At 37.5% G+C, this 24,475-nt stretch overlaps 1 long non-coding RNA gene and 1 pseudogene across 2 annotated transcripts; both read right to left on the bottom strand.

The window, feature by feature from the left end:
- Nucleotides 1-828: 828 nt before the first annotated feature.
- On the bottom strand, nucleotides 829-24,182 carry LOC105373447 (uncharacterized). 2 transcript variants are annotated; one of them, XR_939758.2, is made up of 4 exons: nucleotides 24,061-24,182; nucleotides 18,836-18,864; nucleotides 1,804-1,912; nucleotides 829-1,102 (listed from the first exon to the last, which is right to left on the bottom strand). It is a non-coding gene; the product is annotated as an uncharacterized LOC105373447 (long non-coding RNA). The 2 variants fall into 2 exon arrangements; XR_939757.2 differs by having other exon boundaries at nucleotides 24,077-24,182.
- Nucleotides 14,115-15,656, bottom strand: PSMC1P10 (proteasome 26S subunit, ATPase 1 pseudogene 10; annotated as a pseudogene).
- Nucleotides 24,183-24,475: the final 293 nt, after the last annotated feature.

Raw genomic sequence — 24,475 nt, 5'->3', positions numbered from 1 at the left:
CTTGGCTGAGTTTCAATTTTTTATGAAATTCATGTTTTAGAACACAAATATGTTTCCATATTCAAGGGGTGGGCTTTTCCTTGCATACACTTCTCATTTTTTTCTTTTTATTTCTTTTATTTCTTTTATTTTTTTTTTTTAGGTTCACACCCTGTTTCTTCCTCTCAGAACGAAATGGCTGTGAAAAATCAGTTTAAGGTGCTTGGTAGTTTTTGATGAATTGATCATTTGGCAAATTGCCTTTTGAAAAATTGATGTTTTAGTAAATTAACATAATCCCCCCCATTTTTTTATGTTCCAAATGCAGCACTCATCAGGAAATATAAAGATGGATAAGATATGGTCTCTGCCTTTTGAGAAAAGACCCCTTAAGCCTGTGTTTCTAGTACTTTGCACACAATCTGGTATGTTGTGAGTAAGAAATAAAAGTTTGTTGAATAAATGAATAAATACACGCAAACCTCAATGTCTGGTGAGGGATGCAGTCCATGAATAACTATAATTTAAGGTGGTATTTGCAATGATAGATATATGTTAAGGCAATTGCATGTACATAAAGACTGATGATTGAAGCATGAATATAGGGTAGAAGGAAAAACTGGAGAAACTTACCAGAGAATACGTTTACACTAAATCTTAAAGGATGCTATATGTTTTGCTACATTGTATTTTGCAAAACATATAGCAGGTAAATAAGAGAGAGACGTTCCGAATGAAAGACTAAGTCGTACATGTCATGGGGGCCATGAAAATGTGCTCAGCATATTCTACGGCTGCCTAACACATAACCACAAAAACAGCACGCTTTTATTCTTACACGGTTTTCATAGTTCAGGGCATGGCTTATCTGGGTTCTCCTAGGATTTCACAAGGCTGTAATGTGTCAGCTGAACTGTGTGCCTTTCTGAAGCTAGGGATCCTCTTCTAAGTTCAAGTGGATGTTAGGAAAATTTAACTCCTTATGGTCATAGGATGAAGGCCCTCAAAACCCTAGGAGCTGCCTCTGGTTCTTTACCATGTGGACTTCTCCATTCACATCGTAACAACTTGACTTGCTTCTTCAAGTCCTGAAGGAAGGTCTCTCTGTGTGAATAAAAGTTATCTGAAAAGGAATTTGGATGAAAGAGGCTTTATTTCAGTGAACAGTTTGTAAACCAAGCAGACATTGACTTTGGTGTAAAATCAAGATGCTGTTCCAGAAAACACAGAGAGGGCTAGTTTTAGAGTGAAAGTTCCCATTCAGTTTTCCAATCAGGTCGATTTATGCAAATGAAGGACTCAAACTTGTTTGGTTCTGATTGGTTGATGCAGCTGAGTTCTGATTGGTTAACACAGTTGAGCCCTAATTAGTCAAAGCAGATGAGTTCTGATTGGTTGGTTCAAGGGAGCTCTGATTGATTGATTCACGTGAGTTATGAAAACTCAAAAGTTAAACAGAGGTATGGGTTTCCTGAGAACTCAGAGTACATCTGTGACCTCTACTCAGCAAATGGCCACTTGGCTCTGTTTGAATTTAGACCCAGTTAGCCACTTGGGATCTATCGTGAAGCATTAGCTCCTTCAGGTTCACATTTGTTCACAAAAGCACACTAGAAAGGCAGAGTCATATGTATTTCATAACCTAACCGTGGCAATGATATTGCACGACCTTTGTCATGTAGTATTATCTACTCACAGAAGTGACATCCAATCACCTTTGCTACATTATATTGGTTAGAAGCAAGTCACAGGTCCTGCCTACACTTAAGAGGAGGGGATTACACAATAGCTTGAAAGTCTGGGGCAGAAATTTTTAAGGCCTACCTTAAGGTGTATCCACCACAATGAAGATACATGTGGCAGGGGAACAATAGCACATGAAGCTGGTGTTTTCAAGGGTGGCAGGAATTGGATCTTAAAAATACTTGGATACCTATATGAAATGTAAAGAAAATAGATTTAAAGACATAGTAAGCTTTAAGTTTATCCCTATATCCTTTTTGGAAAAGCTTTCTTAAGAAAATTAATGGCGTAAATAAGTTTGCAGAGAACATATGTTAATGTTTCTTGGATTACTAAGAGTATTTGAAAATATGAAACTATTTCCTTTAGAGAAAAATTACTATACCATTTGAACTTTCTGTTTACAGAGTTTAAATTGGTTCACTTCTAATAACTTAAGTCTTGTTCAAAAACAAGATGCACAAACTTTGCACAACATTTCCTGTCTTTGAGTTATACAACATCAGTTCATCTGGTGAAACGTTCTAGCTGATCTGTTAGAGCATTAGAAAATCATAAACATCTGACCTTGCATGTCGACTTTTTTCTTTCACTTCTCTCTCTCTGTCTTTTAAAAGCTGTAAGGCAAATGTGGCTGCCACCCATTCGCTCTGAGATACCTTTACTTTGGGCTTCAAACAGTCAAGTTCAAAGAAATTGTAGTTATATTGGGCTCCTATGTGTCTCATAGAAAAACGCAAGACAAGAACATGTGTGTTGTTTTTAAATAATTTGATGAATCTGTGCTTCCCTGATAAAAGTCTTTCAATGACTCACCAATAATTAGAGTCTACATCTTCTTTCCTCCAAGTTTTTTTAAATGATGGAAAATGTCATACAAATATACAAAGTCATAGAGAGCAGTTTAATTGTCAACCTTGTTAATCTATACTCTTATCTCCTTTATTTCCTATTCCTTAAATTGTTAGAGCAAATTCCAAACTATCTGAATTCATCAGTAGTATACTCTAATACATACATAAAAAAGACAAGTACTCCTTTAAAAAATAACCACAATGCCATTAAAACACCTAAAAATTAACACTAAATTTGTATTATCATCAAATAGCTAAATAGTTTTAAATTTTTCTTAATTCCCTCTCTCTTGTTTTTGACAGCTGGATTGTCTGAACAAGGATTCTAATAAGGTACCTGCTTCACTGGCCCCCTGTATTTCATCACTGAGTCTTTTTTCACCCATGAGTACTCTTCTCACTCCTTTTAAATTTTCTTATACATTTTTTGTTGCAGAAATTGGGTGATTTGTTCAGTCTGAATTTTGCCAATTGCTTCACATGAAATTTAACTTAACATGGTTTTCTGTCCCTCTATTTAGGTATTAGGCTGAATCAAATAAAATTTCATATTTGTAGGTCAAAATGGCAATTTTATATGGCTTAACCTGATACTTAGATCTAGAGGTGAGATCAGATTTAGCTTCAAATTTTTGACAAGAGTACTTCACAGTTGTCTCATATTTTGTTCCTCCAGGCAGAATCCAATGATAGTTTCTCTCTTTGTGTGTGTGTGTGATGTTAAGATTAATCTGGCCATTATAAAATTCTCCAAAAACTTTTCATCTATTGGCTTCGGGAGGATTGGTAATCATTACTCTGATCCATTGTTTTATTAGAGGCTACAAAATGGTATTGTTTATTAATTAATGTAATTCTTTTAAAAAGATTAACTTTCTATAATCAACTATTTGGTTACAAACTAAAGGATAGTTTATAAAGAAAGGCAGGACAAATGTTTGGTTATCTGCATTTAGTTCACAGTTTTCTCAATTATGCTTTGGTTCTCCTGGCATCCTCCAGAGGTGACCATTGAGCTGGTTTTTAATTTTCATTTTCAGAATAATTTAGACATATATGGGACAGCTTTAACTCTCATGAAGGTATTCATTGATTTTGATGCTCAAATTGTCCTCTCTTTGGTAGTTAAAAGCCACTTCAAGTTAGCTTTTGAGTTCTTTTCATAAAACTTCAGCAGACTTCAATAACTTCTTTGATTTTCAGAACTGAAAAGTATGGTACATTTATTGTCCCAGGCCTAGAATTTCTTGTAGGTACCATAGTTTGCTCCAGTAAGAAGTGTCATATGGAGAAAAGTATAGGGAATAAGGGTGCCACTGGTATTTAGCTGGTCATCATTTCTAGGTCTTTTTAGTGGGCAGAAGTAAAAAAAATGCATATTTTAAAAAAGAAAATACATCATAAATGTATGCAGACATCTATATAACTAAAATTCATATTAAAGCATTTTGACTTAATTTCTCTGATTGTACACAACACACCTCTCTTCTCCCATGGAAACATTTTATTCCCAACACAACCAACATAATTGTGCCCTTGTCTTATCCTGCATACACATACATCAGTTCAGAATAACAACACAGATATTACCACCAAAATTATGAATAGCAAACACTGATCAAAATTTCTTTGGAATTATTTTTCCTGTTAGAATATATCCCCCTAGGGATGTACAGCCACATGGCTGTATTTTCAAGTCACTTGAAATAATTTCTATGTGAGATTAAGCCAATCACTCAATACAAAATTAAGTTTGTTTTGTTTCCAATTCTTAAAATTACTTTATTTTTTGAATAACTTTTATTTACAGTTTTGCAAAACATTTACATGATTCCAGATAGCATAACAGTATTGGGGATAATCTTTGCTCCTTCTTACAGCTGGTAGTACTCCAATGTGTAAATAAATGTATTAATACTATAGTTTATTCAACCAATCTTCTATTGAATAGACATTTAAGTTGTTTCCACTCTTTTGCTATTAGAAATAGTAACACAATGAATAGCCTTATGAATATATCTTCTTTGGGGGAGGCAGATCATTGAATAATTAAGTTAAAATCCTCCACATGAGATTGCTGATTAAAATGGTAAAAGCATATGTAATTTTATTAGATGTTGCATAAATCTGTTCTCTAGTAGTTGTACCACTTGACATTCTACCAGCAATATATAAGACTTATTTCCCAGCTCGGCACGGTGGCTCACACCTGTAATCCCAGCACTTTGGGAGGCCGAGGTGGGTTGATCACTGGAGGTCAGGAGTTTGAGACCAGCCTGGCCAACATGGTGAAACCCCATCACTACTAAAAATACAAAAAAAAATTAGCCAGGTGTGGTGGTGCAGGCCTGTAATCCCAGCTACTCGGGAGGCAGAGGCAGGAGAATTGCTGGAACCTGGGAGGTGGAGGCTGCAGTGAGCTGAGATCATGCCACTACACTCCAGCCTGGGTGACAGAGCAAGACTCCATCAAAAAAAAAAAAAAAAAAAGACTTATTTCCCCAAAGGTTTACCAACAGAATATACCATTAAACTTTTACATTTTTGACAGTACGATAGGTGAGAATGATAACTGTAGTTTTAATCTGCAACTCTATTATTATGAATGACGTTGAGCATATTTTCATGTTAAAGGGCCATCTGCCTTTCTTTTTCTGTTAAGTCTATATTTATATCTCTTGTTCATTTTTCAATAGAGTTATTGGAGTTTTTCTTCTATTAGACAATCTTTCTATTTTAGGGATACCAACTCTTTTCTGTCATATAAGTTGCAAAAATTTTTTCCAGTTTGTCATTTTTTTCATTATATTTAAGATTTATTTTTGCCATATTTTTTAAATTGTTATATCTTGTGTTTATTAATCTGTTCCTTTATTGCTTCTTAAGTTTTTCCTCTTTCAGATTATAGAGGATTTACTCATGCTTTCTTCTAGTATTTGTATGTTTTCCATTTTTACATTTAAATATCTCATAATACACTTTTTTTTTCTGGTGTATGATGTGAGAAATAACCTAGTTTTATCTTTTGTTATAATGTGAATATCAGATTACTCCAACATCATTTACTGTTTTTCTTTCCCCCACTGATTTGCAGTGCTGCTTATTAATATACTGAATTCCATATGCAATTGATTCTATTTCTAGACATTCAGCTATATTTCATTGATTTCTTTGTAAACCCATTTACCCATACCATATGGTTTTACTTTTAGAGGATTTATGTTTTACTACCTGGTAGGGATAGCCACCTCTTACCCTATCCTATTGCTCTTGTGTTTTCTGAGATATTCTGACTATTAGTGCTTATTATTATTTTATTTTATTTATTTTATTTTTTACCTCTATGTTAGGTTTGGGGGTAAAAGTGAAGGTTTGTTACGTAGGTAAACATGTGTACATATTATTTCATCACCCAGGTATTAAGGCCAGTACTCAACAGTTATCTTTTCTGCTCCTTTCCCTCCTTCCACCCTGCCCCATCAAGTAAACCTCAGTGTCTGTTGTTTTCTTCTTTATGTTCATAAGTTCTTATCATTTAGCTTCCTCTTATAAGTGAGAAAATGTGGTATTTGGTTTTCTGTTCCCGCATATATTATTATTCTTTTATTTATTTAAAAAATTTTAAAATTCTTCTTATTATTTCAGAAGTTTTTGGGGAACAGGTGGTGTTTGGTTACATGAATAAGTTCTTTTGGTGTGATTTATGAGCTTTTGGTGCATCCATCACTTGAGCGGTGTACACTGTACCCAATGTGTAGTCTTTTATCCCTTACCCCTCTCTTACACTTCCTCCTGAGGTCTCAAAGTCCATTGTCTTGTTCTTATGCCTTTGCACCCTCATATCTTAGCTCCCACTTATAAGTGAGCACACATAATGTTTGGTTGCCCATTTCTGAGTTAGCTCACTTAGATTAATGGTCTCCAACTCCATTCAGCTTGCTAAGAATGCATTATCTCATTCCTTTTTATGGCTGAGTAGCATTCTATGGTATATATACATCACATTTTCTTTATCCACTCATCAGTTGATGGGCATTTAGGCTGGTTCCATATTTTTGCAATTGTGAATTGTGCTTCTATAAACATGCGTGTGCAAGTGTTTTTTTCATATGATGACTTCTTTTCCACTTGATAGGCACCAGTAGTAGAATTACTGAATCAAATGATAGTTCTAATTTTATTTATTTAAGGAATTTCCATACTCTTTTGCATAGTGGTTATACTAGTTTACACTCCCGTTAGCATTGCAAAAGTGTTCCCTTTTCACCACATCCACACCAACATCTATTTTTTTTATTTTTTGATTATGGCCATTCTGCAGGGTTAAGGTGGAATTGCATTGTGGTTTTAATTTGCATTTCCCTGATCATTAGTGATGCTAAGCATTTTTTCATATGTTTGTTGACCATCTGTATATCTCCTTTTGAGAATTGTCTATTCATGTCCTGAGCCCACTTTTTGATGGGATTTTTTGTTTTCTTTTTCTTGCTGATTTGTTTGAGTTCCTTGTAGATTTTAGATATTAGTCCTTTGTCAGATGCATAGTTTGTGAAGATTTTCTCCCACTCTAAGGGTTGTCTGTTTACTCTGCTGATTATTACTTTTGCTGTGCGGAAGCTTTTTAGTTTAATGAAGTCCCATCTACTTGTCTTTATTTTTGTTGCATTGGCTTTTGGGTTCTTGGACGTGAATTCTTTGTCTAGGACAATGTCTAGAAGAGTTTTCCTGATGATATCATCTGAATGTTTATGGTTTCAGGTTTTAGATTTAAGTTTTTTATCCATTTTGAGTTGACTTTTGTTTAAGGTGAGAGATGACGATCCAGTTTCATTTTTCTACATGTGGCTTGAAAATTATCTCACCACTATTTGTTGAATAGGGTGTCTTTTTCCCACTTTATGTTTTTTTTTGCTTTGTCAAAGATCAGTCGGCTGTAAGTATTTGGCCTTATTTCTGGGTTCTATATTCTGTTCCATTGGTCTATGTACCTGTTTTTATACCAGTATCATGCTGTTTTGGTAATTATAGCCTTGTAGTATAGTTTGAAGTTGGGTAATGTGATGCCTGCAGAACCATTCTTTCTCTTAGTCTTGCTTTGGCTATGCAGGCTCTTTTTAGTTCCATATGAATTTTAGGATTTTTTTTCTAGTTCTGTGAAGAGTGATAATGGTATGTTGATGGGAAATGCATTGAATTCATAGATTGCTTTTGGCAGTGTAATCATTTTCACAATATTGTTTCTACCCATCCAGGAGCATGGGATATTTTTATTTGTTTGTGCCATTTATAATTTCTTTCAGCAGGGTTTTGTAGTTTTCCTTGTAAAGATCTTTCACCACTTCTATTCAACATAGTACTGGAGGTCCTGCCCAGATCAATCAGACAAGAGAAAGAAATAAAGGGCATACAAATAGGTAAAGAGGAACTCAAACTCTCACTGTTCACTGATGATATGATCATATACCTAGAAAACCCTAAAGATTCATCCAAAAGGCTCCTAGATCTCATAAATGAATTCAGTAAAGTTTCAGGATACAAAATCGATGTGCACAAGTCAGTAGCACTGCTATACACCGATAACGACTGTATTAATTTGCTCTTATGCTGCTATGAAGAAATACCTAAGACTGGGTAATTTATAAAGGAAAGAGCTTTAATTGACTCACAGTACACATGGCTGGGGATGCCTGAGGAAACTTACAATCATGGTGGAGGGTGAAGAGGAAGCAAGGCATCTTCTTCACAAGGTGGTGGGAAACAGAAGTGCCAAGCAAAGGGGAAAAAGCCCCTTATAAAACAATCAGATCTCATGAGAACTCACTATCATGAAAACAGCATGGGGGTGACCACCCCCCATGATTCAGTTACCTTCCCCTGGGTCCCTCCCATAACACATGGGGATTATGGGAACTACAATTCAAGATTAGATTTGGGTGGGGATTCAACCAAACCATATAACTCTTCTCTGGCCCCTCCCAAATCTCATGTCCTCACATTTAAAAACACAATCGTGCCCTTCTAACAGTCCCTCAAAATCTTAACTCAAACTCATTCCAGCATTAATCCAAAGACCAAGTCCAAAGTCTCATCTGAGACAAGGCAAGTCCCTTCTACCTATGAGCCTGTAAAACCAAAAGCAAGTTAGTTACTTCCTAGATATGATGGGAGTATAGGCATTGGGTAAATACATCTGTTCCAAATGGAAGAAATTGGCCAAATCAAAGGGGGTACAGGCCTAATGCAAGCCCAAAATCCAATATGGCAGTCACTAAACCTTAAAGTTTCAAAATAATCTCTTTTGACTCCATGTCTCACATCCAGGTCATGCTGATGCAAGAGGTAGGCTTCCATGGCCTTGGACAGCTCTGCACCTGTGGCTTGGCAGGGTATAACCCCCCTCTGGGCTGCTTTCATGGCTGGCATTGAGTATCTGTGGCTTTTCCAAGCACATGGTGCCAGCTGTTAGTGGAACTATGATTCTGGGGTCTGGAGGACAGTGGCCTTCTTTTCACAGCTCCTCTAGGTAGTGCCACAGTGGGGATTCTGTGTGGGTGCTCCAACTCCACATTTCCCTTCCTCACTGCCTTAGCAGAGGTTCTCCATGACAGCCCTGCCCCTGCAGCACATTTCTGAAGCCATGCCCCAAGCTGTACCTTGGCCCCTTTTAGCCACAGCTGGAGTGGCTGGGATACAGGGCACCAAGTCCCCAAGCATGCACACAGTAGTAGGGCCCTGGACCTGGCCCAGGAAACCATTTTTTATTTCTCCTAGGCCTCTGGACTTATGATGGGAGGGGCTGCTGGGAAGGTCTCTGACATGCCCTGGAGACATTGACATGCCCTGGAGACATTTTCCCCATGGTCTCTGTCATTAACATTTGGCTCCTTGTTACTTATGCAAGTTTCTGCAGCTGACTTGAATTTCTCCCCAGAAAATGGGTTTTTCTTTTCTACCACATTGTTGGGCTGCAAGTTTTCCAAGCCTTTATGCTCTGTCATCTCTGGAACACTTTGCTGCTTAGAAATTCCTCTCTCCAGGTACCCTAAATTATCTCTCTCATGTTCAAAGTTCCACAGATCTCTATGGCAGGGGGAAAATGCCACCAGTCTCTTTGCTAAAGCATAGCAAAAGTCACCTTTATTCCAGTTCCCAATAAATTTCTAATCTGCATCTGAGGCCACTTTAGCCTGGACTTAATTGTTCATATCACTATCAGCAGCATTTTGTTTAAAGCCATTCAACGAGTCTCTAGAAGTTCAGATTTTCCCACATCTTCCTGTCTTCTGAGCTCTCCCAGTCTCTAGGAAGTTCCAAACTTTCCTACATTTTCCTGCCATCTTCTGAGCCCTTCAAACTGTTCCAACCTCTGCCTATTACCCAGTTCCAAAGTCGCATCCACATTTTTGGGTATCTTTATAGCAGTACCCCACTCTCTGAAGTAACAGATTACTGTATTAGTCTGTTCTCACACTACTAGGAAGAAATATCTGAGACTGGGTAATTTATAAAGGAAAGAAGTTTAATCGACTCACAGTTCAGCATGGCTGGAGAAGCCTCAGGAAACTTACAATCATGGTGGAAGGGTAAGGGGAAGAAAGCCACCTTCACAAGGCAACAGGAAGAAGTGCCTAGCCAAGGGGGAAAAGCCTTTTATAAAACCATCAGATCTCATGAGAACTCACTCACTATCCTGAGAACAGCATGGGGTAACTGCCCCATGATTCAATTACCTTCCACCTCTCCCTCCCAGGACATGTGATTATGGGAACTACAATTCAAGATGAGATTTGGGTGGGGACACAGCCAAACCACATTAGCGACCAAGCTGAAACTCAAAGCAAGAACTCAACCTCTTTTACAACAGCTGCAAAATAAATAAATAAATAAATAAGGAATATACCTAACTAAACATGTTATATTATTATTTTTAATATAAAACTTTGTAATTAACTTGTTGAGCTTCAGAAAAAGTGGTATATGGTATATGTATATATACACATATATGTACATATGTATGTATATATGCATGTATATATGTCTATGTATATATGTATGTATATATGTATATGTATATGTGGATATATACCTATATGTATATATGTGTATATGTCTATATACCTACATGTATACATGTATGTATATATGTATGTATTCATGTATACATATATGTATATATGTGTAGGTATATGTGTATATGTATACATGTATACATGTGTGTATACATGTGTGTATACATACGTGTATATGTGTGTATATATGTATATATGTATTTATGTGTGTATATATATATTTTTTTACTGAAATCACACTGCATTTATAATTTAACTTAGTGGGAAGGGGCAACTTTCTTGCATTGAGCTTTCCGACTCCAAAACATGGATTATCTTTCTATTTATACAGTCTAGTTTTGTGCCCTTCAGAAATGTTTCATGTGGTTTGTTCAGGAGATTTTGGATATTTATTGATAAGTGCTTTGCCTAGGTTATTTATTTATTTACATCACAAATGGGAGGTTTTCCTTTTCATTGTGTTTTCTCAGCAAGTTTTGTTTGTTTATATGGAATGGAGCCTGAATCATAACATGGCATTCTGGGCCTTCCATCTCTCTCTTTTCTGTTTCATTTACTACATTTTTCTTGTGCTAACCATATGTTCTTCAAGAAATATTTTCTATAAATGCCCCTAAAGAGCCTTGTTTTTTCAATTCTTCAGTCCTGCTTAAGTATCCTTCTTGATTCCCTCCCCAACTTTTTTTCGTCTGTAATTTTGTAAACTCTTTTACACCTTCTAAGTCCTCTCTTCCACATATTTCTCCTACAGCATTTAGGTCTGCATTCAAATGCTACACAACATAAGTTGGTTTTCAGTTACTTTTCTGGGTGTGCTTGTCTATTATATAAAGCAAGCCTCTGAGATACAGAATGGCAGGAACTATGCTTCACACTTTGATTTTTTTTTTTTTTTGGTACCCAGTGGATTGAACCTACTGCATGCTCAGTAAAATTTGTCTGTTGATCTTCACCAAATATTTTAAATTATCTCTGGTAACTTTCACTTTCATTAGAACAGCTTGATACATTCTAATTCTGGTGATCTAATATGCATAACAGCCCTTAGGAGCTGAGTCAGAAGAGAACTTTCATCCCACCTCCAGGAGACAGCCCATTGGAAGATTAAGAAACCTGCCCCACAGAAGGCCAGGTCTAAGCCAGGCTTGAAGCCAGCTCTTCCAAGAGTTCAGGGCTTTTTCTGCTGAACTTTTTGGCCTCTTTCTGCTCAAAGAGCTGAGTCATAAGTTGTCCTAAATAGCCCTCAGGAGTGTCTTCTCCAGCTTTGGGAACAAGTTGCTGGAGATTGAAAAAGAAGGAGAGTTTGGAGTCATTGCAGTTTCAGTGGGCCTATAGTAACACAGGTCTTAAAATTTCTGTCCAGTTCAAACACACAAAATAAATTTATTTCCCTAATTACTGTTGATTTTGAAACAAGAATGACCAAACTGCTTGTTTTGTAAGTAAACCACAAAACTTGGAAGTAGTAACAACTCTCTAATTCTTTGTTGAGATCCTTCATCAATAATTAGAATAATAGTAGTCCCACTTGAATAACATATCTGGTTCAAAGCCACCAACAGACCTTGAGAGACCAAAGAAAAGTAGAATACTACAGTTCTTCCCACCTGTGTTCTGTGCTATGCGCTTCCACACATATTGCTTTCATGCGTCTTCCTTCTTGGGAAGGCATTGTGACTCCATGAATAGAAGCAATGGCTTAAGCCCAGAAGGACCTAATTTCAATTTTGTTTCTTTCATTACTGTTTATTGGGCATGTAACTTAACCTCTCATACTTCTAAAGTATTTTCATCCTATGGGGAGAGACTGTAATAAAATTTTTGCAGAGTGTTTTATAATCTGGAGATGAAATGCACAATGTAAAGCCACCACCAAGTTGTTATTAGTTATAGCCAGGACTCAAGTCAGCTGTCAGTATTGCAAGGAGGAGCAACTCCACTGTGTAAAATGACAATCCCTTCATGAGCTTTCAAATGCATAGAACTTGCTGACACAAATACTGCAGCACATCAAAGGGTAGAAAATCAAGGTAATGATTGCAGTGGAATAGAAGGAAGTCTGCTGGTGTGGTATCAGAGAACTCTTAGTTAAAAAAAGAATAATCTGAAATTTGTTTTAAAAACTGAAGACTGTTTGATGGTAAAGCTGCAGAATCCTTTCTGTCTGCTTCCAGCCCTATGAGAACTTGGATAGCATTCACATGTATTGACATCTGACAGGAAAAAACAGAATTACTGCAGAGGCTGTTGGAGAGCTCATTGTATTATGACTAAGCTCACTAAGAATCAAATTCTACTAGTTTCATTAAAGGGTTTTGTGCCTGGCGTATCATAAGTGCTTAGTAAATGTTACTCTTATTATTTTGCTTGGAAGAAGAAAAATACTGCACCCACGGGTCACCACAGACATAGGATGATGCACATAGCATTGCTTTCACAAATAGCAGAAAGTGTGCATATCTGTCTACACATAAGCCAGTAAAGAATATCTCCAACTCTGTCTTTTGTTCCCCAGAAAAATACTTGGAGGTTTTTGGAGCTCACCATGTTTCATCCCTGAAAATGGACTTGATTTTAGTTTAGACTGGGTTCTTCAACCATTGTCTCCAGACAAAAAGTCATTACACAGCCATGGTAGAACATTCATTCTCTGAACCTTTTCATAGAATCCACTGGGGCAAAGGTTTTCTCTATCAAGCCAGGTGATTAGAAAGAGCATAGAAAAGGCTGGTAACTCTCCTCTAGACTACAGCCTTATATGAATGTTAGATTTTCACAGCGTGTGTTATTCCACAATTTCCCCTGCTTCTTCTCCTACCAGTTGGCTTGCTTGTAATTTGGGCTGCTGGGCTTTGGTGGCTCAGACCTTCTCCTTCATGGAAGGCTCTCAGCCTCCCTAGTAAAGTTCCATATTTTTATTATGTAGGATTGACCACCAACTACAAAAGAACTTTTTAGATTTCCCTAGGGAAATAAGCAGGGGGCAAATGCATACTAGTCACCATCATAATGTTTTAGTTTTTCCTGTTACATTAAGCTCTTTTTCTTGTTTAAGATGAACAATTTTAGGCTATCTCTCAAGACAGCTTTGCCATCAGAGTGACCACAGAGGATGACAATAACAGCAGGTGTTGTTTGTTGAAAGCTCAGCTGGTATCTGGTTTTGTGGCGAGTATTTAAAATGCATTATCTCACTTAAAACGTAAGTCATCCCTGAAACTCAGAGAGGTTAAGTAAGTTTCTCAGCATCATACAGGGGGGAAGTTATCAGGATTCACACCTAGGCTTACACATCTTGAATTTTTTATAGTTATTCTATATGCTATTGGCAATGTCAATAATAACACCACCAAGAATTAAGTTGGTCATATTTTCCCTTTGATGTTAGGCAGTGAATAAGTAAAGCATCCTAATATTAAAAATCAAATAAACAAACAAATGGACAGAAACCCAGATTATTATTATTATTTTTGTTAAAGAGCACACTCCATTGGGAACAGACTGCTGCACAGTGACTGACAAAGGCCACCCAATGGGCACTTACACATCGTACTCCAAAAGACATGGGATATTTTGCTAATAAAAATCAACGGGAACAGGGATTCCTCTGGGCAACTCCCCCAACCTCATCCTTTTCAGGGGTCGAGGAATCGCCCAACCATTTTCCTGATGGCAGCTGTGGTTCACTAGAGATAGAGCCCCTCAGGGGTGCCTTCCTGTTTCTTATAAAGAACATTTCTTTATATTTTTTGAAGAATTCATTCGTTACTTTCATTCTACGTTCTCTTGAGGCCATCAGACCAGCTTCTGTACAGATTGCCTTGATGTCAGCACCAGAGAGGTCATCTTTAACCATGATCAAGTCGTCCAGGGTTACTTCATCGGCCAGTGTCATCCTGCTTGTGTGATTCTGAAAGATACGCTTCTTAGTCCTTTCATCAGGCAGGGAGAACTTGATCTTCCTGTCAATGCGGCCTGGTCTGATAAGTGCTAGATCCACAGTTTCTATTCTGTTTGTTGCCATAATAACTTTCATGTCTCCCCTAGAATCAAATCCCTTCAACTGGTTCAACAGTTCCAACATTGTTCACTGAATTTCTCTCTTACCACCAGAATTTGAGTCATATCTTTTTGTCCCAATGGCTCCAATTTCATCAGTAAACATGATGGATAGTTCATGCTCTTCAGCAACTCAAAACAATTACCATATGAATACGAGTTTGGGCCCATCACCTAGGTACTTCTGAATAAGTTCAGAGCCAACCACTCTCAAGAAAGTGGCTGAGGTTTGGTTTGCTACTGCTTTGGATAACAAGGTTTTGCCTGTGCCAGGTGGACCATAGAGAATGACCCCCTTAGGAGGCTTTTTACCCATCTCTTCATAATATTCAGGATGGGTGAGAGGAAACTCCACAGCTTCCTTTATTTCCTGAATTTGGTTGTCCAGCCCCCCAATATTGGCATAGGTCTCCTGGGGGGTCTTTTCCATCTTCATCACTGTGACCAGGGGATCCGTGTCATCCATCAGCACCCCATCACGGCATGCACCTTGTGGTTGAGCAGGACCGAGCAGCCAGTTTCCAGAAGATCCTTGTCTATGAATGAAAGAATGTTGACATAGTGTTCTGAGCCCACAGATGTAGACATGATGGCATGATTGTCATCAATGATCTCTTCCGAGGTTCCTACTGACATCGGGGTCCCCCTCAGATCATCCACTTTTGATCTTTCCTCCTTTTGCTTTTCTTCTAATGGTTTCATCTGTTCCTGATTTCTAATGAATTCTTCCTCCATGAGAAGATAGTCTTTAATTCTCTCTAATGTCAGTAATTTTAACCGGCACTGAGTGTGAGGTGTCACCAGTGGCAGTTTGCTGACTGCATCTGGTCCCTTTGTTTTCTTCTTCTTTTTCCTCACTCTAGTTGGTACAGAAGGTTCATATTTCTTTTTTTTGTCCTTGTCATCCTTCTTGCCACTTCCAGGACCATGACCACCACTCTGACTTTGACCCATCTTGCCTTGGCCACTTGAGGTAAAAAACTCGGATTATTAAGATGCCTGTTGGTTACTTAACAATTTTAGTTTCACTATATTATTTAGCTACAAATAGCAGTGGGTTCAAACATTTTCCCTTGCTGGGGATATAATTTCTAGAAAGTGTTCTTTGCAGTGAAACTGAACTTGAAGTCATTAAGTAGTAATTAATATTAGCTCCTGCTTTGAAAGCATTATATTTAACAAGGCTTCATAGGAATAATAATAATAATATGAAACGGGGTTTTGGTTTATAGTTTAATTCCAGGAAGAAAGTATATGCTTTTTAAAATTTACCAGAGTATTTAGTAACATTGTTTTCATCTCCAGTGAGCATGCATTGCTGATTTTAAAGAGACAATGCAGCTGCAAAAAAATAGAAAAACAGAACAATTTCAGGACAGGAAGCTCAAGTTTTAGAGAAAGAGAGCTATAGTAACATGTAGTGGAGGTTACCCTGTAGTTCCAACAGAATGCTGAACAGTGAGTTTCATGCTGTTTTATCTAAGCAACAAATTGGCAAAAATATAAAACACAAGCCTAGAAAATGAACAGGAATCTAGTGAACAAATCACTTAATAGAGGTATTATTTTCTGTGTAACTCCGGTGTGAGCAAGCGTGGTCCCCTCAATCTTGGTGTCAATTTCACACTCTGTGACGATCCAATGTCCTCTTGAAATGTTTGCAAATTCACGGGTGAAGAGGGCTAATGTTCTCATGGTCATGAGTTCAGTCTTCCTCCAATCTTAGTAGCACATTCAGAATTAGTTCTCAAAAGAATATTGCTGATTTGTTAAAGGGTGTATGGTTATGCTCTCAAACTGAAGGGACTTTTGCTCCAGTGGATATAGTGGGTCATAAGGGCATATGTTAGCGCTTTCTGCACTGAATGCAAGATTAGGTTTTATATCTTCTGTTGGCCTGGGCCTCTTTGAGAGCTATTGACTTTTGGAATCACTTGGTAAATTGGCCGAAGTAGAATACCTTGCCTTTCTCTTGCAGAGTCCAGCAAACATTACAGGGTTGTGGTTTTGTTTTTTTTTTCTTCTGAAGCATCTTGCTGCTCTATATCTTATCAATATAATGTGTTTAATGGAATAAATCAGCATGATGTCTTACAGGATTGTAAGTTGTTCTTGGGAATTAAATTATGACACAGAACTGGGGAGTTGACAACCGACAGTTGGCATTCTTACCACAGTAAAGGCATACTTTTGTCTCCACCAAGTGAAAACACACGATTCTTAGTGTTCTTTGTTTCTGGGAATGGATAAAAATGCATGTTATCTATCAATAACTGCAAACTAGGTGGCATAACCCCTGTAAGAAAATCAATCTGGCAGGCAGCTGTAATAGGCAATAACACTATTCTTCTTAGTGTTTTGCACTTGCCAAAGAGAAATGCATTATGTTCTTTGAATCTTACAGCTTCCTAGAAATGAAAGCAGAATAGTTTTTCTCCCCATTTTACAGATATGAAGACTGAGTAACAGAGAGTACATTTTGTTGGGAAAACATTTATGAGGGTACTGAGACTCTGAGGAGCTTGTTCTGAAGTGCCATTTTCCTTGAGCAGTTTTTTGTGTTTTTCCTTATAGATTAGCCTATGTTGCATTGCAGGCTGAGGGCAAGGGGCCTGAAGTCAGACTGCTTTAGTTGGAACTTAAATTCTGCCACTTGTCTTGGGCAAATTGCTCAGCTTCTCTGTGACTCAGTTTTCTCATCTGAGGATTAAATGAAGATTAAATATATGAATGCAAAGTAAAGTACTCAAAACAGAGTCGGACACTGTTAGCATTCTATCTATAATTACTGAAGAAGCAATAACTGGCAAGGTTAAAATCTTACAACCCAAAGTCAAATGTAGAAGATTTAAAATATTCTACATTAAAAATGTATTTTCTATCAGGTCCTGGGCTACCTTCACCTTCTTCAATGAGTGGATCAAGTAGGAAACTATATCTCATTGGTTTAAAGTTGAGGTGACTTGTGTGCTAAGTGCCTCTGCTGGCGTGCAGAGAACCCTTTGCATGATTAGCATTGACCTGACAAATTGCTGTACTCTCCAAGTGATTCAGCCAAGCCATTTCCCCAGTGCTGACAAAGCACCAATCCCAGGTACTGCACAACAGGGCCGCCATTATCTACCATTTCAGGAAGACAAGGAGCTTAGATGGAGAATATTACAATTATTTTCACAAATTAGATGGCTGTATTTGAATCTGAGAGCAAAAATTCGTGGGTAATATATATCTTTCTATGTCTATCTCTCTTGAATATAGAGAAGGTAGTTACAATTGGTAATTGAAACATTGCCTATCAGTGTGAAATTTATGAGATGAATTTTAATAAATACATGGACTTTTCAAGTGTCTTTTACTGACAAAAACAGCTGAATTGATTAAAACTAATTTGCACAATTTGTGGTTTATGGTGAGAAACTGACAGCAAAAAAATGGAGCATTTTTAATATAAGTACATTTTTGAACTTGGGGTATTTTTGTTTACATCATGTTGGTAAATGTTTAAACCTTATACTTCAAAAAATTTGCATTTGAAGGGTGACAGACTTTTCTTTGCATCAATTCAAATTATTTAATTATAGTGGAGACAGAATTTATCTATTTTCATGAATCTGTTACATTTTCATTGAAGTTTAGAGATTTGAATTTTTTTCAGAGTTAATAACTTTTATTAAATTGACTTGATGATATTTTGTTGCATATTTTTTCTTTTAGTATTATGGTGAAATCCTTTTGCTTTAAGTTGTGTAACTGCTATTTATATTCCTAATGGAATATAAGACCTTGGAGGCTTCTAGGGTTTCTCTTACTGGAACTGTCTACGATTAAAAGGTTGAATTATTGGTCTCTTACGATAGAAGCACATTCAGACTTGTTACTTGTTATAGTTTAATATCCATCTCATTAGAACCACTGAGAATCAATCTCCAATTTGCAAATAACTTGGATTTGAGGCATTGGTTTGTGAGTAATCTGTATCATTTTGGGGAGTTCTTTTTTTGTACCATAACGGTAAGTCAATATCAGTTGTTGCGTTTTCTGTTTGCTTAAAAATATTGGAGTATAAAATTGGTTGTCAGGCGGCTTGAGGTTTAGTTCCAGGTTTGCTTTTAGCTCACTTTAGTAACTTACTTAACTTCCGTGTGCCTTGGCATCTTCATCTATAAAATAAAGAGGGAGGAATTAGGTCAGACTGGAGCATCTTAACCGTTCTGTTTCTGAATTTCTCTTTGAATTTACCAAGGTAGATTCTGCACTAGTTTTGGCAGACTCAAGTCATAAGGTTGGTTAAGGTTAGAAAAGAGGATGAATAGGAGGGAGCACCTCAGATCAATTGGGAGCTAGGGAAATTAAACTGTTTATAAAGGAAGATCCTAGTAGAGGCTGCGTAGAGGTCCTACACATGGACCCTCAAGGCTTGGCAAAATTAAGTGAAGTTTGATAATATGTCACTAAGATAATTGTTGTGGTAGGGAAGTGGGGGTATATTCTTAGAAGAAGCAGTGCAGAGAACAATTGCATTCAGCTGGTAATAAATAACACTCAGGGCCAGGCACTGCAGAAGCATGGCTCTGGATGATGGGGCACAGAGGGTTTGATCACAGGGAGATTGGTCAGAGAAGCACAAGACAAAAGCATAGGAAATGCTGTAACTGGGAAGCCACAGGGTTGTCTGAAGCTCACTCAGCCCTATAATATAGACATTGGGTCTGCTGGTAGAAAAATATCAATTCTCAGCTCTCCCAGCCTTAGGTAACACTGTGTCTAAATGGCAGTATGTCTTCCTAAGGATTATGAATGACAAGGGGGATGAGAAATGACCAGAACCATCATGCCTCCTCTGCTCCTTCTGTAAAACCTTACTAATGTTTTTATTTTTTATTTTATTTCATTTTTTATTTCCAGTAGGCAATAAGAGAATCTGAAAAGTGATGAAGGAGGAGGATAAGTACTTAGGGAAGAAGATTTTAAAAACTGAAAGGATCTGTTTTAGTTAGAATGGGAAAGATGTTTCCTTGGTTACAGATCTTTATAGGTGGCAGAATTACGGTGAAAACACTTTAAGGAAAATTACTTGATTGCTGGGAGGTGTCAGAGTTTTTCAACAAATATTTCATTGAATAGAAATGGATTGAGCACCTGCTATGTGCAAAGCTTTGAACTGAGTGCTCTGGGGGATATGAACAATTATATTCTATCATTCCCACACCTGAGGAGTTCACACAAAAGCTGAAGAGACAAAGCACACAAAGCAGTGAATTAAATGATAGAACAAGACTTAAATATCCGTACAGAATGCCGTGGCATCAAGAGGGACTCCCCGTCCTCCGGAGTTCCGGACCAGTTGAGAAATATGCCAAATAGAATGCATATAGGGCAATAGATTACCTTTATTTTTAGTAGATGAAAGCTAAATTGAAGTACACACAGCTTAGCACAGTTCTCAGTGAGCCGCTTGACACTGAAGTCCAGAATTAGACTTATATTCTTAGCCATGTGGTGCCTCTGTCCCCATGGAACAGAGAAGAACCACTGTTTGTGGAAGAGCTTGTGTCCAAGAAGAAAAGAGAGGAGCTGAGTCTAAAATCATAAGTTTATTCTTTCCTACTTGGCCCTGAGATGAAGCAAACAAGGCATAAAGGAATATCAATAATTAAGCTCCTTGTTACAGAAGGATTTATCAAGAGTGGGAAAGAGGCATTTCCCTTAACAAAAGATAACAGTATCAGCAGTGAAGAAAGAACATGCAAAGTGACAAAGAAGGATCCAGATTTTAGGGGCTAGAGATAGGAAGGACAAGCTGGGCCACAGCGTGTTGAAAGGATTTTCCCAGGGGAAAGATTTGAGCTGGCTTTTTGTGATGATAACATTTAGATAGGCAAGAAGAAGAGCCTGCTGGTGGGAGTGGGAGGGATGATATGGGCAAAATACTGAGAACACAAGAAAGAATGTAAACCCCAAAGCAGGTGATGACAGTGGAAACTGCAAGAAAGGGTCAAAGTAGCAAATGTTGAGAAGGGGATACCACTGGGGGGAGATAATATGTAGGAGGAGAAAAAAGGAGTATGAATTCAAGGGGAGGGATCTCAGTTCTCCTTTCCCTTTGGGACCATAGTGTGTCAGTTAACCTCTCCAGGACTGTCTCAATTTCCTCATCTGCAAAATGGGAGAATTTGGATAGCTGATTTCTCTAGCCATTGGTTAGCATGGCTGCCACTGTTAAGAGGAGCTATTAAGCTTGTCAGGTAGAACCAATGGCATTCTTCCCAGAAATAGAAAAAAAATTCCAAATTTATATGGAATCACAAAAGACCCAGAATAGTCAAAGCTATCCTGAGCAAAATGTACAAAACTGGAGGAATCACATTACCTAACTTCAAATTACACTACTGAGCTATGGTAACCAAAACAACATGGTACTGGCCTAAAAACAGACACATAGACCAATGGAACATAATGGAGAGCCCAGAAACAAATCCATGCATCTACAGTGAGTTCATTTTCAACAAAGTTGCCAAGAATATACAGTGTGGAAAGGATAGTCTCTTTAATAAATGGTGATGGGAAAACTGGATATCCATATGCAGAAGAATAAAACTAGACCCCTATCTCTCACTGTCTACAAAAATCAAACCAAAATGGATTAAAGATTGAAATTTAAGACCTCAAATTATGAAAGTATGGCAAGAAAATCGTGGGAAAGCTCTCAAGGACATTGGACAGGGCAAATATTTCTTGAGTAATATCCCACAAGCACAGGCAACCAAAGCAAAAATGGACAAATGGGATTATATCAAGTTAAAAAGCTTCTGCACAGCAAAGGATATAATCAACAAAGTGAAGAGATAACCCACAGAATGGGAAAAATATTTACAAACTACTCATCTGACAAGGGACTAACAACCAGACTATAAAAGGAACTCAAACAATTCTATAGGAAAATATCTAATAATCTGATTTTAAAAATTGGGCAAAAGATCTGAATAGACATTTCTCAAAAATGGGACACACAAATGGCAAACAGGCATATGAAAATGTTTTCAACATCATTCATCATCAGAGAAATTCAAATCAAAACTACAAAAAGATACCATCTCACCCCAATTAAAATGGCTTTTATCCAAAGGACAGGCAATAACAAATGCTAGCGAGGATGTGGAGAAAAGAGAACCCTTGTACACTGTTGGTGGGAATGTAAATTACTACAACCACTATGGAGAATGTTTGGAGGTTCCTCATAAAACTAAAAATAGAGCTACCATATGATCCAGCAATACCACTGCTAGATATATACCCAAATGAAAGGAAATCAGTATATCGAAGAGATAGCTGCACTCCCATTTTTATTGCAGCACTATTTACAATAGCCAAGATTTGGAAGCAACATGTGCCCATCAACAGATGGATAAAGAAAATGTGTCACATATAACACTATGGAGTACTATTCAGCCATCAAAAACAATAAGATCCTGTTATCTGCAACAACGTGGATGGAACTGGAGGTCATTACGTTAAATGAAATAAACCAGTCATGGAAAGGCAGACTTCACATGTTCTCACTTATTTGTGGAAGATAAAAATTAAAACACTTGAACCCATGGAGATGGAGAGTAGAAAGAGGATTACCAGAGGCTGGGAAGGGTAGTGGTGGGGAGGGCCAGGCAGGTGGGAGGGAAAAGGTAGGGATGGTTAATGGGTACAAAGCATAGAAAGAATGAATAATATCTAGTATTTTATAGCATAACAGGGTGACTACAGTCAATAATAATTTAATTGCACATTTAAAAATAACTAAAACAGTATAATTGAATTGTTTGTAACACAAAGTATAAATGCTTGAGATGATGGTTACCCTATTTACCCTGACGTGTTTATTAAACATTGTGTGTCTGTCCAAATATCTCATGTACCCCATAAATATATACACCTACTATAAAAATTTAAAAAAAAGATTGTCAAATAGAACCAGAGAGGTAAAGACCAGAACAGACATGTGGCATTCTTCTCTATACCCCTGGGAGATACAGAGATATAGAAGGCTTTCAGGAGTCAGAGGAGGTCTCTGAGAAGGAGGCTGTGTTATATCCCTGAATGCTGCTGACATCTCTGGTGAGGACTAGCCTCTATAGCACATTACACAGACTGAGTGTGGAGGGTGAGGAAGCTGAGTTAAAAAGCTTCTCGGCTTTCAGTGCCTAGGTCTAGTTAAGAAGTACCCAGGGTAGAGCCTGACCCATACCTCAAAGGGCACAGTAGAGAGCCAGGGAGGCCAGTGGAAGTCCGCCTTGTTTTACTTACTCATATTTCCCCAGGCCAACCCACTTTAATACAGATTCATCTCTGGGAAAAGATTTTTCTCTTGCACGCTAAGGTTATGCACTGAGAACATCGATTTAAATCTCTTGGCATTTCTAAATTCATACACCTAGTAAAATTTTGGGAAAAAACATATTCCGTGTAGTGACTGACCTTCAATATCCTTACTGTATTCCCTTGAATAATCAACTTTTTATTACCTTTAGTGCACATTAGTGAGATTTATTACTCACTTTAAAGAAGCTGTCTTTTATCTAAATTTAAAAATGCATATATATTCCATATGATTCTCACCCTAAAGAAGGGGAAAATGGGGCTAAGTGGGGAGAAACCAATCCATAAAATAGTTATTTTCAAATATGATGTACTTGATGCTGTGTGTACAATTGATGGACTTTTAATATGAATTGATACCCAATTTAGCTCAATCACAAACAAATAACCATTCCTTCTTAATATGTAGCAATGAGTGATCTGACAGAGCTGGTCTCACTTCATTTATAATTAATTCATTCATTTATTCCTTGTCAAATATTTAGTGAGCTTTACTGAGCACTAAGTCCTGTGTTAGGTGCTGAGAGTATAATGGTGAGCAAAACAGTTGGGATTTCTTTCTGGAGGTTTAGAATGGTGTGGAGGTGAAGGGAGACAAATGGAGCAAATCTTACAAATATGTAATTACACACTATGAGACTTGCTATAATAGAAAAGTACAGGCTGTTTTAGTAATTTCTAATCAAACCAACAATACATTTCCAAGGTGCAGCAAGGCAGATACCTGTGCCCTCTGTGTTGCAACCTCACTGTGCCTAGCTTTCAATGTGCACTGTCAATCCTTGGTCCTTTTTCTAGAACATTCCATGATACATTTCTCTCTTCTGCTTGGTGAACTCCTATCATCCCTGCAGATCTAGCTCAAATGTTAGTTTCTTGTTAGCTAGCATGAGGTGGCCGCATTGAGCCCACAGTGAAGATGTCCCTTGCCCCAGTTAATTTACAATTGTTCTAATAACCATGTCACCTTAGTTTAGGCCTACAACCTGGCTCTGTTCTGACCTCACTTGGCTCTTTTTCAGACAGGCATCTTCTTAGGCTTGTATCCAGTTCATCTAAAAGCAGTATCAGGTTATTTAAGTATAAATTAAAAATGAGGGATGTGGTTGCCATAAGCCACTTAAGCCTGAAATTAGAGGTCTCAGAATTTTGCTCCTTGGCACTCAGGTTCTGCTCTGTGACTTCATCAAGTGGTCTGGGGGGCACTCCCTTGCTTGTAAGCTTTGGCACACCTCAAATTGTCATTTTAGTTCTGCATTATGATGAACACTCATTCTGACCTCCCTGTATTGAAATCGGGTCTGTAATTATATGTGCCCAATAAATGTCTGCAGAACCAGAAATTTATTTTATGGCCAAGAAATGATTATAGGAGAAAAAAATTACATTCTAGAAAAACCT

The sequence above is a fragment of the Homo sapiens genome, chromosome 2, assembly GCF_000001405.40.
Source record: "Homo sapiens chromosome 2, GRCh38.p14 Primary Assembly".
Taxonomy (NCBI): Eukaryota; Metazoa; Chordata; class Mammalia; order Primates; family Hominidae; genus Homo; species Homo sapiens.
The sequence above is the reverse complement of the archived record's forward strand: the minus strand, read 5'-3'. Positions and strand labels throughout refer to the sequence as shown.